Raw genomic sequence first — 17468 nt, forward strand, 5'->3', positions numbered from 1 at the left:
CCTGAATCTCAGGTTTACTCATCTATAAAGTGGGACTAATAAGATTGAAACTTACCTACAGAATTGTTGTGGACATCACATAAAAGTTTATAAGGGTCTTTTGTAAACAATAAATAACTATGGAGATGTTAGTTAGTTTTATATTTAAAGCTTAATCCCATGAAAAAAAATAAAGCTGAATAAATTCTGGAACTAATAAAGTTGTAAACCAAATAGATTATCACAAATGTATGCACACACATGTATATGTATTTATGCAGACATAGATCCATCATTCAGGGTAGATGTCATGTCATGCACATCTTTTAAATTTCCCATAGTACAAAGTGTAGTGTTAAATATACAGGAGACACTCAAATACTTAAATTGCATTCAGTGATTACTATGAAATGATTATTTCACTTTGATCACAGGTATATAAGAGCTGGGTTATGTATGGATGGCAAATATATTTTGGGGAGTCCTGGGAACAAGCAAAAGCAATGCTGGAACGGAGACACATGAGCACAGGATATTTAGTATGATGACAGAATTGTATATTAGGTCAAAAACAATGGCATGAGTGGTGAGGACAGGCCTCTCTGAGCATTTTTCACAACTTTGGCTTGTCTCTTGAACTAGATCTCTGCCTAGGAAACCTAGCTACTTCTCTGTTGGTCTACTTTTTTGTTTCCAGCAAGGGTAGCTGCAGAAAATAGAGTCCCTAAGTAATATTTCAGATTATTTTTTTCAAAACTTATTTCTCAACTTACTGGTTCCTATTTCGATGCCATAGTTGTGACTTCAGAAACTATTAAACTGGTAAATTTTCAGTTGTTTTAGGCTTAACCAAAGAGGCTGGACTAAATCGTTTAGACGCCAATGGTCCTGCCCATGTAGAATAAAATTATGACAGTATCTACACAATGATTCTCTTGGTTAAATAAGCTTTTCTCCCCTCTCTATTAAAATTGATGTTTGTTCTGAATTTTTATAAATTGCTTTTATGAATATGAACTTTTTAGATCACTTGGTTTTAATTGTAATGACAATCTATGGCAGTACCTTGAAAATAAAAATGAACACTGAATGCTGTACATTTAGATCATGCTTTATAATTTGAAAATTATTTATACATATAAATAATTTGCATGTATTTTTTTTCCTCATTTGATTTCTATTTTAACTGATAGTGAGAGTAATTAAGTAACTTACAAAACATTACTCAATGACAGCTCAAGTTTTCTGATTTTACTTTCAGAATCATTCGACCCTTATTAATCACAACTACAGGTATACAGGTATATAACTACCAGGTACATTAAAAATAACCTTTAAATATTTCATAATTGTATTCTGTTTTTTGTTTTTTGTTTTTTGTTTTTTTGTTTTTTTTGCGATGGAGTCTTCCTCTTGTTACCCAGGCTGGAGTGCAGTGACGTGATCCGGGCTCACTGCAACCTCCGCCTCCTGGGTTCAAGTGATTCTCCTGCCTCAGCCTCCTGAGTAACTGGGATTACAGGCACACACCACCACATCCAGATAATTTTTATACTTTTAGTAGAGACGGGGTTTTGCCATGTTGGCCAGCCTGATCTTGAACTCTTGACCTCAGGTGATCCACCTGCCTCGGCCTCCCAAAGTGTTGCAATTACTGGCGTGATCCACCGCACCCATTCCATAATTGAATATTCTCATAATTTAAACAGTCTTATTAAGTGCCAAGGTTTTGGGTCTTATATTTAACTTTCTTCCACTTAACTAAAAGACTTAACTACTTCACAGTTCTAAAATCATTAGGTTACATACACAAAAGAAAAGTTAATCCTGAAAAAAGAGGCTACAAGTGTTTTAATTCATTCATAGCAAAGTAGAAATATTATAAGTCCACGTAAATTGAGTTATGGGATGCAGCAGAGGGTGGAAACTTGGAGCCAGTTAAGAGTTTTGTGCTATGCACATTTTTAGTCAACAAATCAATAAACATTTTTCAAGTGCCAATGATACAGACCCAAAACAGAATATAAGGTATGACTAACATATGGTATAACTCACCCTTAGTCAACCATGTCCTGTGTCCTGTACATCAAACCTTAATCACACACATATATACATAGAAACATAGTTTACATTATAAACGGAAACATAACATTAAATTATTTTTGCCACATTTTATTGTGCTTTTGCACGTATCCTAATCACTTAATGGTGCTACTATTTTAAGATGGGTATTTTATCCACCAGTACCCAGTAATGAGTATTTTAAAAATGAAACCTCCATAATTTTGCTTGGTGGATGATATAATCTTAAAAATTTGACTCTGTAAAATTTATTAGAACAATAAATATATCTTCAAGCAGTATCTTTAGCAATAAATATTTACACATGCTTGGCTATTCTTTTCCAAAGTTTATACCCTAAATGTAGAAACAGTTTATCCATGTTCTTTATAGATTCCTTTCATTGCTAGAAAAGTCTAAATACTTCTGAGAAAACTATAAAAAGCTAAGTCAATGAGCAATTTTTGATATGTTCTCCTAACTGAATGTTTTTATTTAAAAAATGTTTCAGGGCAAATAGTAAATATTGGTTTATGTGGCTTAGATTTCTGTTTCTTATGTGAATACATATACTTAAAGACTATTTATTACATCATCTTCCTTATGTAGTTTTCTTTTAGAGTTTAATAACTCCTGCCTCCAGTTGATAGGAAGAAAAATTATAGGAATTTTTTTCTATTTGATATCATTACAATAGAGATCAATTGAAAAATGTAACTGAGGCCCCCCAAACTTGAGCAAAGTCCTCCTTCTTCAATGGGTAATTATTTAATTTGTCACGTTAAAAATAAACAAGCAGACCTGAAGATTTGCCATATTAATAAACAAAGACAATTTTTTCTAAAATGCATTCATTCATTTAATTGTTAAAATACCATTCTGTTATTTTAAACCAAGTTGTCTGGCAAGATCCATAAATATGTTTAAGCCATTTATATAGGTCAGCTAACATGGGTTATGCTTTTTAAAGCACCATCTGACTAAGCACATTCTGCATTTTGCTAACAAAGTTACAGTACATAATAATATTTTAATCAACCAAAAAGAACAATAATAGATCTGACTGTTGGGCTGATAATCGTCTTATCACACCCTGTGAAACCTAGCTCTAATATTTGACAGAGCCTCCATTACTTGGCAACCCATTCGAAAAAAGGCCAACAATGGAGAGGGAGTGAAGTGGAGTGTGCAGTACCTCCGTATCTACATAAAAGAGATTAGAGGCGACAGCGTTCCATTTTACAGCTCAATCATATTGTGTTAGCATGCGCTTATCCGAGCGCGGACGAAATTGAAAGAGAAATAAAAAAGAGTCAGGCAGATAGGAACCAGAAAAGCGAGGCATGAGCAATTTCCAAGGATATAAAAGGATGCTAATGGCTGGGCCCTGTCATTCTTAAAAAGGGCTATTAGGGCACCATCATCTGTTCTTGTGCCCTTATGCTCCTCCAACTAAAGTCAAGCATTTTCTAAAGCCCTTGTGATCTTTTTTTCTTCTAGAGATAAAGTATGGTCATGTTTCATAACAACACACTTTCCCATTTATATGATTTATTAATGTAAGTCAACTAATTCTATTTACTGATAAAAAAAACCTATTCCATATGTATTTTCTTCAATAGCTTCTTTTGTTGTATCCTTCACTTTCTTATAAAGAAAGTGTGCAAAAGTACATTCGAAGCAGCACAGAAAAACTACTCATTTTCGATGCTAAACTTAATTTTAAAAACATATATGTACGTGTATGGGTGTAATTATACAAACCGAGAACAGCATAAAGATAACAGGGGCTTGAATTTTAGTGTATTAAAAAATGACTTCACTTTAACATAAGCTTTACAAAAACAAAGAGTTTTAAAGTTAAGACCAAGACAGGTGAAATTTCAGTTCTGATTTGGCTTTAATTCCGGCTATGACCCCAGTTATCAGGATTGGTTCATGTTATCAAGAACACAATTTCACTTTTATCGAGGCAGAAATGTGACTTTTATCTTTACTTTCTCCAGCCTTTACTTCCCTGTCTCTCAGTCCATATAGCTGTAGTGTGGTCCTCTACTGACCAACCTCCTGAACCCAGGGTAAGGCAGCACACTTTGATATCAGAACACCCTCTCCTTCTACCTCAAGCGCTGTATGGCATAGGTATTATTAAATTTTTTTTTTAAATTTCTGTTAACTCTTGTTTTGCTAATCCCTTTCTGAAAAGCCAAGATATTCCTTGCAATCATTTACAACACCCTCAGGTATCACGAAAATCAGAGCTGTGAATCACTACTCCACAGTGAACTCTTCTGACATTTGCTATAGAGAGAGAATAACGTCAGTCCCCACCAATTCTAAGCCTCAGCTTAAGACTGAACCCATAATCGTATAGTAATTGTTTCCACCACTGGAAATGGTGTTACTCATAGTTATTTAAAGTTGCTATCTTTACAAAAGTCACTAGAGCCCCTTTACTGTGACAAGTCCCTTTGTAAGCTGACATTTCTACTTGGATGCACAGTCGGACCTACATATTTATCACTCACTTTCCTTACTAGAAAGTTCAAAAGAAATTGTTGACTTTTATTGGTTTTTATTATGCTTTATCTGTATGATATCAAAATATTGGCCTTACAAATCTTTTATTTCAGGGACAACTTGAGCAGAACTCTCCGAAATAATGGGTGGTTTGGAACCATAGTGACACAGCTTTTCACGCTGTTGTTAATAACAATATTATCATCATTATCATTTTGAAATAGGTTTTTTAAATGCAATAAACTGGAGACTAAAATATCTTGATTCTACTCCAGGAAGCCACTCTGAAGGTACTGGATATGGCTGTGAATTTGTGCAAGTGTTTTTTACCTCTCTCTACCTCAAATCTCCTTATCTTTGAATTGAGAATAATAATACCTGATTCCTGGGTTAGAACAGTGGTTTTCAGTTTGGGGGAAGAGGGTCAGGCTGGGGCGATTTTATCTCCTGGAGGACATTTGAGGCTGTTTGAAGACAGTTTTGTTTCTCACAATTCAGGGGTGCTACTGGCATCTAGTGGGTAGAGGCCATGGGTGCCGCTAAACCTCCTACAATGAACAAGGGCAGCCCCTCATGACAATTATCTCGTCCCAAATATCAATAATGCCAAGGCTGAGAAATCCTGGGTGAAAATGATGATATTTAAAATGTGTGTATACATATATCATAATGATATATTAATATAAATGATATATATCAATCACCTAAAAAAGTGTCTATGGACACTTCAACAAATGTGAGTCTTGTTTCTTTCATCTCTAAACCCTTCAATAGTGCTTTCCTTACAAATAAGTTTTCATACACTGTTGAAGTAAATTCTGGCTGTTCCCACTGCATTAATCAACAATTGTCTTACATCTTGCAGTAAATCCTTTCTTTTTATTTTTCTAAAAGTCATACAGATGTGATTACAATCCAACTGCAATATCAAATATCCACACAATCAAATTCTTATTCTTCTTTTATATGTAGTAATCCTTGTGTAGGTGTCTTCTAAAGAATATACAAGCTCACCTATTTAACTAGTTTTGACTTAATTTGGGGGGCTTTATTAGCAAACAGTGTAAGACAAAGTAGCTGGTATAATACAGAGTGATGTTTAAATTAGTTTACAATTTGCTTGGCCTCATCTAGAACTACAACGAACAAAGCCATTCAGAAATGTCAGCTGTGTTCCTAACCACTGTAACAAATTGTCGCCTGAACGCTGCACACCTAATGACTTCAAATTAGCTTCACTGCGATATCGCCTGACAGTTCGTTACGACTGTTAGCAACATAGCTGGCGTATCATGACCAATAAATTGGTTTCAGTGTGGGCTGGGAAAGGGACTTCCATCAATTTGATTAAAGAAATTACTGTAGCATTCAAAGCATAAAGACAAACTAGTTTAAGGAGACAGAAATAAGTTAACTGTACCAGAAAAACATTGCTCATCATTCAAAAACTTGTTTATAAACTATCTGAAAATTCAACTCCAAACAAATAAAAAATAATTCAAGTAGAATACTAAAATTCTCAAAACTTACAAGCATGTACATATTTGTTCATATTACAGGATGGGTCAAGAAAAAAAGAAGAGAAATATTTTTAAATGCTAACTTTAAATTACCATATAGGAAAAGTTACCATGTCCATTTAATATTTATTTTCACAATTTATCTGTAAAGATAAATATCTGATTGTAAGCCAAAGCAAAGCTTGTGAATATGACCAGCAATAGGATATAACTAGCCACTATGAACAAAACTAGTGATTCTTAGTTGGGAAAATAGTACATTAGGCTACCGCTGACAAAAACATTTTTTAAAGTGAAAAGAAAAAGTAGAAGTATTTGCTAGGAAAAAGGTAAGAATTTTGACAAAGGATAAAGAAATGTTTTAAATTTATATTCTCGTTAGCTTACACTGGCAGTAGTACCTGTACATATGAAAAACTAACAAGAACTCAAGGTGGTACCAATATAAATAATATAAAGTCTAAGGATTCTATTAGGATATGCAAAACTCTAAATTATGATTAAAAATAAATGTAAAGGGTTTTTTTAAGTCTAAATGAGAAAAATTTGAATTCACCCAAATCTATATACATAACCTAGGGAATTAATTGCAACCTTTTCTTTTCTTTTTCTTTTCAGAAAATGTACCTGGAATATGCTTCGCCCATCCAATGATAACCACCAACTCTCGGTCGGCCAAGTCACACAGTGTAGTGAGGGCTTTGATGTCACTGTCGGGGACAGTAGGGTCAGGCATGGCATAGATCTTCTCCGGTTCAGCCACCAACAAATGTGAGACAATCTTGTTATCTGCAGGATCAGACCAGAGCACTACAAGATCACTAGTAGTATCATCCCTCTTTTATAAACCCTAGAGCATTTTGTGTTTTGAAAAACAATCCAAATATCCTACAATAAACGCTAAATATTCCAATTATGGCTCAATAGGTATATATTAAACGGTGTGCAGGAAAACTCATAGCAAGACATATGCCACTGCAGTCGTGATAGAATGTAGTCTTTTTTTTTCTTCTTTGCTCTACCTGCTTTTGCTGGAATGAAGCGTCTGTCCTGTAGTGAAAATTTTTATAGCAAACAGATAAGAGAAGTTAGATGCTTTCTGGGTTTGTGCTTTGATTCTTAAGTGGGATTTGGTGAAGTAGATTAAATGGTATAAAATAGCTTAAAATAAAACCCCCAGTAAACTATTGAAATATAGATCATAACACAGGAGGCAAAGAACTACTAATGCCTATAGTCATAATGGGCATGAAAGTCATTAATTGTCTTAATTCCTTTAAAGAAGAGCAAAGGTCAGAGCCCTTCTGCCTTGGTGAATTACTGACTATATAACTCTATCTCCGTGGGATGCATTAAATAGGAATTTATTTTTTTCTCCCCCTCCCCACACACCCAGCCAGTCTTCCAAATACAGCTAATATGTTTCCATAAAAATACTCCTCCTTAAATGTTACAGTCATTTTCTCTTCTGTGTGTCAAATTCTTTAATCCTCTATTTTCATCAGTTGTCCTTAGTTCATTCTCTGGTTCAGATTTATCTGTCTGAAATTTGTGATATATGTTTTAAAAATCCTTCAAAAAATAAACACTAGAGACAAATGGAAAGCATCACATCAAATGTGTTTTATTGCTCAGGGGCATGTGAGGGTTTATGGAAGGGGCTGTAAAGTCTTGGTAACAGAATGATTTTTCTTGTTGGCCCTATTTTCAATTTCTATATGTAGCTTAAGATTTTATGCTTTCTTCTAAGTGAGGAGATACAAACGGGTGAGAATAAACCCACATATTTAAATGTTCTATGTACTATTACTGTAGAAAACCAGGACTTTAAATGAGGTTCTTGTGAACACAGCCAAAGTTCCCAATGTGTTTATCAGACTCTTTGCCTCTCGCTCTAAGTTTTTAACTTTTTTAACCCAATATAAAAACACTTCACATAACTTAGAGTTAAATATAGCATTCATTTTATCTCCTTTTATGAAAGAATGTGGCTTGTCCAAGCTATAATTAGCACTTTTTCTAACATAACATTTAAACATTTATGAATATGGCTCCCATATTAATTATAATTATTTCAAATACACAACAGATAATATTCTATCATCATCAAATTGAGTAGGCAGATTTGGGAGGAAATATTCCCAAATACTACGTTGACTAGAAAAGAATTAAAAATTAAATAGAGATTAATTTTTTAATATTTAATTTGGATTTTTCTTGTATGCTACAGAAACAACACCCCATACTTTTAGTTATGCTTGGAAAAGTTTCAACTTTCATTGCTCTGACAATGCAACAAAACCTGTCAGCAACCATTAGATTCTCAGGATTAGAAGAAAATCCAATAGTAAAGAGCATAAAAATATATCCGAAAGTAATCATGATTCTAGTTGTTTTTTTTTTAGTACAGGGAACATAGCACTGGCTTTATCCAAGTCAATGGATACTTGACACGAGAGGTCAGAGAAATTTGGTTGAAGCTTAGAAATTCCCATCATTCAGAAAATGGAATAGCCGGCAGCACTGTTTCTAGGTAAATCTTATTTAATGTTTCCCTAATTAGAATCAATAGAACCCAATTTTCATTCTTGGTTCTTTGTAGTACACAATCAGTCAGGGTCCAGAAACCTCCCCAGCCACTTTCTCAGCAAAGCTCAGGCACAGTCTCTTGACACTTATCTGACAGGATCTGAAAATTAAGTTTTATAAATGTTTGTTACAAAAACACACTAATTGGATGGACTAAAGAAAATTAACACAGAGGCCTTTAGATAATGAGTAATGATTTATTAGGAGTCCTCTTTATCTGAGACAAATGGAGCTCACTGAAATTGCTGTAATCTTCTTAAAGGTACTTGACAAGCCACTTCCCAATTTCTCAGGTTTACGAAGAAAACCATAGATGCTCCTCTATCATTTCAACTTACACATGGGCTGGTGCTCATTTTTCTTTCAGTAGAGGAAATTATCAATGGTTTCAGTCAATGTTTGCATAAAATAAATGAGAAATGGGCAGTCTGTATATTAGTGAATTCAGAAAAACTAAACCTCTAATGAAATTAAGCATTAGTGTTTATTGCATATTATTGTATTATCAGAGAGGTTTTTTATTATAATGTGCAAAATCTGTTTAATGCAGTCCTCGATTGTATTTGCAGAATGCCAAACAGCTTATGCAGGCTGAGGAGAAGATGCCAGATTGGACAATTGAAGGTATAATCAACATAATGTTTTTTGGAAAGGCAAAAGGAAACTATGCCATATGTTCACTTAAGCTTTAATTTTATGTAAAACTGGTTGTTTTTCCTTTGACATAGCTAAAATGTCCTTTCATTTACAGTTCAGGGTCTGTTTTATTTATTTAACAGATTTCCATATGCTCACATATGTATGATGCACAGCAGTGACCCCTCCTGGAGAATCTGAATTAGAAGTGGACATCTTCTCTTCCCCTGAAGGCAGATCAAAAATTACCCATGTCTTTCCTAGAACTGCTACAGATGCATTTTCCTCTGATGAGTGCTGGTTGTGTCTTCTTAGAAAAAGACAGCTAAATTGGAAAACCGTTTTCACCAAAGCGCTCCTCCATGCCCAGTAGGATCCCTATTCATAAACATCCTAAAACGCTAGTTCTGTTGCACTACAACTATTAACTGATTTTCAGAAAATAGGATACAGTGATTGCCTCAATCTATATTCCAACTCTTTTTCGTTAATGACAAAAAGAATGGGGCTTGCATTTTAGCAATGTACCAGTCATCCTTTCAAATTGCAACTTGGCTCCATAAAACCATGAGCTCTTTAAAAACAATTCATACCGTCCATAAGGGCATCTCAGATGGAACCAGCCACCTATGCTTGTTATTAGTAGTGCCCATTCTTGTTTTAATCTATTGCTAGCTAGTGTGTTAAACTTCTATAGCTCCAAATTAATGAGGCCCCTAATGTATTTTCATTGGGAGGTTGAGCAGTCAAATTCATTTAGTTAGTGAAAACTACAAAAATCACTTTCTTGTGAAATCTGAAACTAAGAGCTCCAATGAACTAATGATCACAGTATGATCCATTTTATGTACCTCTGCAAATAAAGATAACCAGTAAATGTAAAATTCACACTATATAAGCTATGTATTAATATGCTTATGCTTCCACAAAATGACTAGGTTAAAAAAAGGCTGGAGAGAGAAAACCACAGATATCTCTAAAAGAAAAAATGAGATAATAAGCTGAGTTGCTGTCGCTCCTCACAGACAATCTTTGGGAATAGAGCCACTGTTCTCCAACAAAGAGAAGTCTCCTTGGAGTCAGTAGGGATGGGCATGCCAAAGCTGATGTACATAGAGCCAACTGGGAGGATTTCGTGTTCTGGGAAGCCAGACACATCTGCTGTACTTACATGGCTTTTTGGCTGGCTGAACCAGCTGAGGGTTCAGGTATGGGCTGTTCTCCGCATCTATCCTGCGCTTGTACTTCTGCCGACCTCCACGTACTCTGTCAAGACGCACCCCTGTGAGCAAAGACAGGCACCGGCTTACTATTAAGGTAGCTATGTTTGAGACCAATCAAATACCTAGATGGTATCCCCCAAGAGCACATAGGTGACAAACAGTAGAATGCAGAATGGACCAGGGGTACTCAAATAATGTAAATAAGTGGTGGCTAAATCAAACTTGCCAGAGGTTGAAAACCAAATCTGTCAGCAGATGACAGATCCGAAAGACATTTCATGCAAAGCCATCAGGGTCACTATTTGCACATCAAAGAAAAGGCAGATTTCCATGTAGATTAATACAAAGAAGCCGCTATTTGGTGCTAGTATAGTTTCTTAAATTAAAGACCCTGGCATTTAGCATCCTTTTCATCAGTCAGCCCTGAAAGCTCAATGTGTAGGACTGAGTAGACCAAGAGCTATCCAACTTCCCTCCAGTCTGCCAGAGGCCTCAGGATGGACCTGTGGAATTGAGCTGAATAAAGAGCACCTATGTGCTGGGGAGGAGGGAGGCCAGAATTACACTACACAGATTCAGTCCTGAGAGACGCAAGAATTGTTCTCTATCAAAATGTCAATGTCTCAAGGGGAATGTTATTTACATTTTGGCACAAATTTGTATTTCCTCTCATATGTGAGAAAACTGAGAGCAGGTTTGGGCTGAACACAGGATAGAAAGGGGAGCTTCCTAGCCGGGCGCAGTGGCTCACGCCTGTATAATACCAGCACTTTGGGAGGCCAAGGCGGGCAGATCACCTGAGGTTGGGAGTTTGAGACCAGACCAACCAACATGAAGAAACCCTGTCTCTACTAAAAATACAAAATTAGCCAGGCGTGGTGGTGCATGCCTGTAATCCCAGCTACTCGGGAGTCTGAGGCAGGAGAATCGCTTGAACCCGGGAGGCGGAGGTTGCAGTGAACTGAGACTATGCCATTGCACTCCAGCCTGGGCAACAAGAGTGAAACTCTGTGAAAGAAAGAAAGAGAGAAAGACAGAGAGAAAGGAAGGAAGGAAGGAAGGAAGGAAGGAAGAAGGAAGGAAGGAAGGAAGGAAAGAAGGAAAGAAGAGTGGAAGAGGAGGGAAGGGAAGGGAAGGGAAGGGAAGGGAAGGGAAAGGAAAGGAAAGGAAAGGAAAGGAAAGGAAAGGAAAGGAAAGGAAAGGAAAGGAAAGGAAAGGAGGGAGGAAGGAAAGAAGGAAGGAAGGAAAGAAGGAAGGAAAAGAAGAGCTTCCCAAAGAATTCCAAATGCTTGGATGTCGAAGGAAGTGAATGTTAAAGAGGGCTAAAGGGTGAAGCTGGAAAGTGGGCAAAAGTAGACTGACAGGAATAGAACTTTTTCCCAAATAGTGATGGGTTGGGTCAAGATTCAAAGGGGATTTTCTGGCAGCGGATTTAAAAGATTAAGGAAAAAGCCAAGGGAATGAATGGGATTACAAATATAGGAAAATTTCATTAATATCAGGAAGTGATAGGGAAGAGCTTGTCAATCTAGTTTCCAGACTATAATTGTAAAGTTTAGCACAGGACCATATAAGTCCCTACCAAATATAAGGACGACTGCTTGGGAGCAGAAGTGAGGAGACACTCTTTTGCAATATTACATTGTACTTTAATTGATATAACAATGTAAAAGTATTCATTAAGAAGTTCAACCATGTAATTCGTTGTACATATTTTGGCATGTCTCAAACTGTTTAGGAAATAGATTTGGTTTAACAGCATCATCAGTATTACTATTTCATTTAAGCCCCCTCAGAGCCATTAATATGCGACGGGCTCTGTAAAACTCTAAGAGGAAGCTACATAGCACATGCAGTGTTTTGCAAACCAATTGAACCAGAGCTCCAGTTTTTTTGGAATACCGATTAATGTCACGCAGAATATGTGAGCTGTGGGTTATCTGAGTTACATGAAACGATTTGGGAAAAGCAGATCTATTTCTATGTGAATATTTACAGTGAATATATTACTCAAATGTTAAAGATTATTAGGAAAACAATTTTTCATATTATCTTAACAATACTACTTTAAGCGTTGATTATCTTTTAGGAGAACACACAAATACTTGGTTCTAGATAAAGCCTGAATTGTCATATTGAAGTATCAGAATATAGTGTAAATAACATCAGGAGACAACTTTGAGAAAAGTTAAATAGGTTAAACAAACAAATATCAAAACCCAAAAAAGTTAGGTAAGGTTATTAAGCATTCACTGAAAATTGCCATGCATGTTGTTCACAAAGAAGTTATATTTCTTTATTGCTGCTTTTAAAGCACTCCATGCCTACAGCAGATGTATTCCTTTGTTTATCTAATTTCTAATGTTCTGTTTTTATTGCATCTATATTTAATAAAGTTTAATGCCTTCTACTTCTCTCCACTTTCATCATGATTTATTTTTTTTCATCTCTTTCTCTTCAAAATTTTCTTCAGAATAGTTTTCCAGTTGAAGGTGACCACATTTTTTCTGGTCATCTAAGATACATTCAAACCTCTTTCATTATAAGAATTTTGAAAATTAAAAATCTTAGTAGAAAATCAAAAGCATATGACACTAATTATATCCTCACGTTTGTCATCCAATTCCAACCCAATGAGAACATTTAATCTGATATTATTAGAAGTGTGAAGAGAAGGCAGGCAGAGAGAGAGAAACAATGACAGGCAAAAGCTAAAGAGAGAGGGAACATTTTTTGGACATCACTAAAATTGTTAGAGCCAAGAAAGCTGACAGAATAAATCTTGACTGAGTTTGTAGACTCCCTAAACTTGCTTTTCATGCTTGTCAAGGAATGTATTCACTGTTAGCAATATGTCCTCATATATTGAACAAAACACTACATATTCTCCAACCCAGAAGTCAGAGCTAGTGAGTTTGTGACAATGGAGTTTTGTCCATCATGAAGATCTGCGGAAAAAGACCATAGCTGAGTGACTTGATTTAAGATCTTGGTGGAAAACAATTCAGACATACAGTTACATCACTTTAAAGCCATCAAGTAGTTTAGCCAACTGGGCTAAGTCTACAGAGGAAGTGCAACAATGAAAGCTAGCTATTACACATCATGAAGAAAAAATATGCATGATCAATTGACAGGGTTTTTATTATGTATTATGGATTATTAGGCTGAGGTGGGTGGATCACCCGAGGTCAGGAGTTCGAGACCAGCCTGGCCAACATGGCGAGAACCCATCTCTACTAAAAATATAAAATTTAGTTGGGTGTAGTTGTGGGCACCTGTAATCCCAGGTACTCAGGAGGCTGAGGTAGGAGAATCGCTTAAACCTGAGAGGCAGAGGTTGCAGTGAACCAAGATCGCACCATTGCACTCTAGCCTGGGCAACAAGAGTGAAACGCCATCTCAAAAAACAAACAAACAAACAAACATAAAACAAACAAACAAAAAGTATTATCAAATACATTCCATTACTATGCATTTCTCTTTCACCTTCAAAAGGTGACTATAGAAAAATTCATATTACCTATTCCATGCGTCACAAATCTAAGGGGGTGCTGTCTTATGTCCCCCACATCCCTTCCTGTGTGTGTGTAGATCAATAACTATCTATGCATTCACTCGTACATTTACCTCATCCTTCCCATCTATCCATTCATTTATCCTAGCTATACACCTATCCAGTGAAAAACCTTTCACATAAGTCCTGATTTTACACTTTATTTCCTAAAATAAAGACTAATTAGATAATGCATTCTTTTATTTGTAATTTTATTTATATGATAGTAGAAAAATGATTAGTTATTGATACTCATAAAAACAGATTACATAATTATTAGTAAAAATTGACAGGGACTCCACATGCAATATTATACTCATCAAGTTTAGATAGCGATTAATGGTAAAAATTTCTAGAGCCAATATATTTTAAAGGATCATAAGAACTGATACTCGTGATTTTTCATCCCCTGTCAAAAGCAGGCTAATATTTCCAACTCCAACTTTTTCAATTCAAGTAGAAAATATTTATACTGCTTTTAACTCGTTTTCAAAATCTGGAAAAATCTGTCTTCTATGCATTGTCTAGTAGGATGATGATCTTATTATTGGTATTATTTGGTTTACCTGATTTCATGCTTGGTGAAATGTTTGAACCAAAATCCTAGTAAAAGACAGACGCAACTACTTCCACATCATACTGAAAGTAATCATCAATTTATTTAGTTACACTGGGGGAAAACACCACCCAGTAAAACCAGATTTTTCCCCCCAGGACAATCAAATAAAAACCTACAAACAAGGGACATAGCTCCAAAAGTTAAAACAGTCCAAAATATGTATTCAAACATGTGGACAAAGCCTCTTTATTTGTGCAACTTTGAAAATAGGTTTATTCATGTAAATCATAATAATACATGTACTTAAATTCAATAATGTTATTTTAAATGGTCAGATAAAACAATACTGTATAGATATCATGAAGATATCTGTATATTTTCAACATAATTCTATTTTTAATGTTTTTTCCAGAAAAAAAAAATTTTAAAAATTAAAGACACCAATACAATTAAAGCACCATGTCATAAATGAGGCAGGATCTCAGAAAATCAAATATCAAATTATGAAAAGCACCTCTCATAACTTCTAGAAAAGTCATTGGAAAACAAACTCTGCATAATTGGGATACTACATTTCTTCTTACTAAAAAGCAAATTTTATAGTGATAAAAGGTACATTGCAAAGGACAGAAGTATTTAACCAAAAAGTAACGCTATGAAGATTAAAATATTCTAAGTCAAAAACATTGAATGAAAATTCTATCTCTATCACCATTCCCTGGACATAGACTTAAGCTATGATTTCTCATTAGTAGTAATAAATGCAAATAACATGTTGAGTTAAAAATAAATACAAATCGAACAAAAAATGAAGAGAGGTCAGATAAAGAGAAATATAATACAAATTACCAAATAAGATTATTTTTATGTAATTGTTTCTAACTACCACTAATTTATAGTAATTTTATTATATGCTCTGGCCTAAAATTTTTAGCCTTGCATACATCAAAATGAAGGATAACTAATAATCAATCATTAAATCCCTATGAGCTTGGGCCATTGTCTGCAATCATGATTTTGTGAAGATTAAAGTTTCCCTTATTAAGGTTTTCAACTGTAATAACATAATACTTTATCTTAAATCCTTTATCTTAAATATTATGCAAAGAATATGTCAAAGCAAATAAAGCATAGTTTGCTAGTCAGAATGGTTCAATTCTTTGTCTGGCTCTTTCCATAACTATTTCTATAAACTTTGATGAGTCTCTTAACTTATTTGCTTTTCCAAATATAAGATGGATGTAAAGAGTATATCCTCCATGATGTTTTGCTGTAATGATCCAATAACATTACATTATGGTTATTATACGAATGTACTTAAAAATATTTTATAAATCTTAAAATGTCAAGATCATTTATTGAACATCTATCTGCATAGAGTGTTACAATCTATCCCATATCAATTCTGTAGGTAAACAGATTTGAGATATGATCGAACGGTAAAATAACTTAAAGGATGACAGCCAAATAATAATACTATTTGATGTTTGAGTGATTTATAGAAATATCTAGTATCATGTTTTATTTCCTGCCCCCTCCCATCACTAATAATATTATTTAGATTGTGATTATTTTAGAAGAGATACAGAAACAAATCAAAATTCTATTTTTTAAAAAAGATGATTTTCCTGAGTTTAGCTGTAAGTACACAACACAAAGTTAAATAGAGAATTCATAATTATCTAATTAAACTAATACCTTTAAAATATTCAAACCAACCATTTTAGCAGAAACAAACAATAATAATATTTATGATCAGAACCTGGGAAATCCAGATTTGTCATAAGCAAACAACAACATAATCCAAATATTTCTACTAAAGGTGGCAAAGCCTGTCTCTGTATACCTTTTCAATCTTAAACACAAACAATTTCTGTTTGGACTCCACTTGAAAACCACTTTTGAAGAAGTTTAAAAATAAGATTTCTCCCAGGAAATAAAAGACCCACAGTGTTCAATGTTTGACAGGATTGGAAGTTAATTAAGGCAATTAGATTTTCCATTCATGTGTAGACTGCCATTATCTTTCTTCTAAATAAAAGATTTTAATAGCTGGCATTACCTACCTACCAGAATGTTTCACATTGCTTCTTCTTTCATATACTGCATTTGCCTACATTGCCACAAGGGAATTACAAATCTTATACATTGTCAGGATTTACAAAATTGAGAAAGCAAGAGTAGGGCAAGGAGTAAAAAAAATGCTGTGAGGCAAATAAACACCAATAGAAGTAAAATAGTTCAGCCCAAGGTCTTCTTAGGTCAGCTAATTTTGAGACTACATTTTGTGCCCAAATGCAAATTTTTATAATATTCTGTAGTCCAAAGTCAAAAGTATTTTTCACATCTTTAATAGCACAAAGTCAGAGGCATTTCATAGGATAATAAAAAATCTTCCCTTCAGAGAATTACACAAGGATACTCTAGCCTACTTTCCCAATTTAAAGATAACACATTTAATATGTTATTCCCAAATAAAAGCTTGCTGAAAAGCATTAATTTATCTAGACCCATGGAATAGTTAAGAAAGACGCAAATATTCACATTAAAGTAATAATAATTTTGAAAAGATCGTTAATGAACACTACAATAAGCAAACTGCTGTGTTAAATAAATGTTATCAAACATAGATTGCAATTGAGTATAGGGAGCAGAATGGAAAGGCAAGACTTCTGAAACAATAAGGTAAAGAGGACAGTAACTTTTTCCTGCACTATATGTTTTCCTGATACAGTAGTTCACTTTGCTGCCTAAAGCCACCTCCCTCCTTCCCTTGGGAAAGAGAAATATCCAACAGCACCCTTGAATTCTCCTGAGATTTCTAT

The 17468-nt window shown here is 34.7% G+C and overlaps 1 protein-coding gene across 56 annotated transcripts in view; it reads right to left on the reverse strand.

Moving 5' to 3' along the window:
* The window catches only part of ESRRG (estrogen related receptor gamma), a 634457-nt gene that overhangs the window by 54266 nt on the left and 562723 nt on the right, over positions 1 to 17468 (reverse strand). For 35 of the 56 annotated variants that reach the window (XM_017000625.2, XM_047449371.1, XM_017000622.2 and 32 more), the window contains 2 exons: positions 10477 to 10587; positions 6708 to 6890 (listed from right to left, as the gene is read on the reverse strand). In XM_017000625.2, coding sequence (XP_016856114.1) covers positions 6708 to 6890; positions 10477 to 10587 — 294 coding nt within the window. The remainder of the gene's footprint in view (positions 1 to 6707; positions 6891 to 10476; positions 10588 to 17468) is intronic. The other 21 variants (XM_047449389.1, XM_011509266.4, NM_001243513.1 and 18 more) reach the window with 1 other exon arrangement.

The sequence above is a fragment of the Homo sapiens genome, chromosome 1 (assembly GCF_000001405.40).
Source record: "Homo sapiens chromosome 1, GRCh38.p14 Primary Assembly".
Classification (NCBI taxonomy): domain Eukaryota; kingdom Metazoa; phylum Chordata; class Mammalia; order Primates; family Hominidae; genus Homo; species Homo sapiens.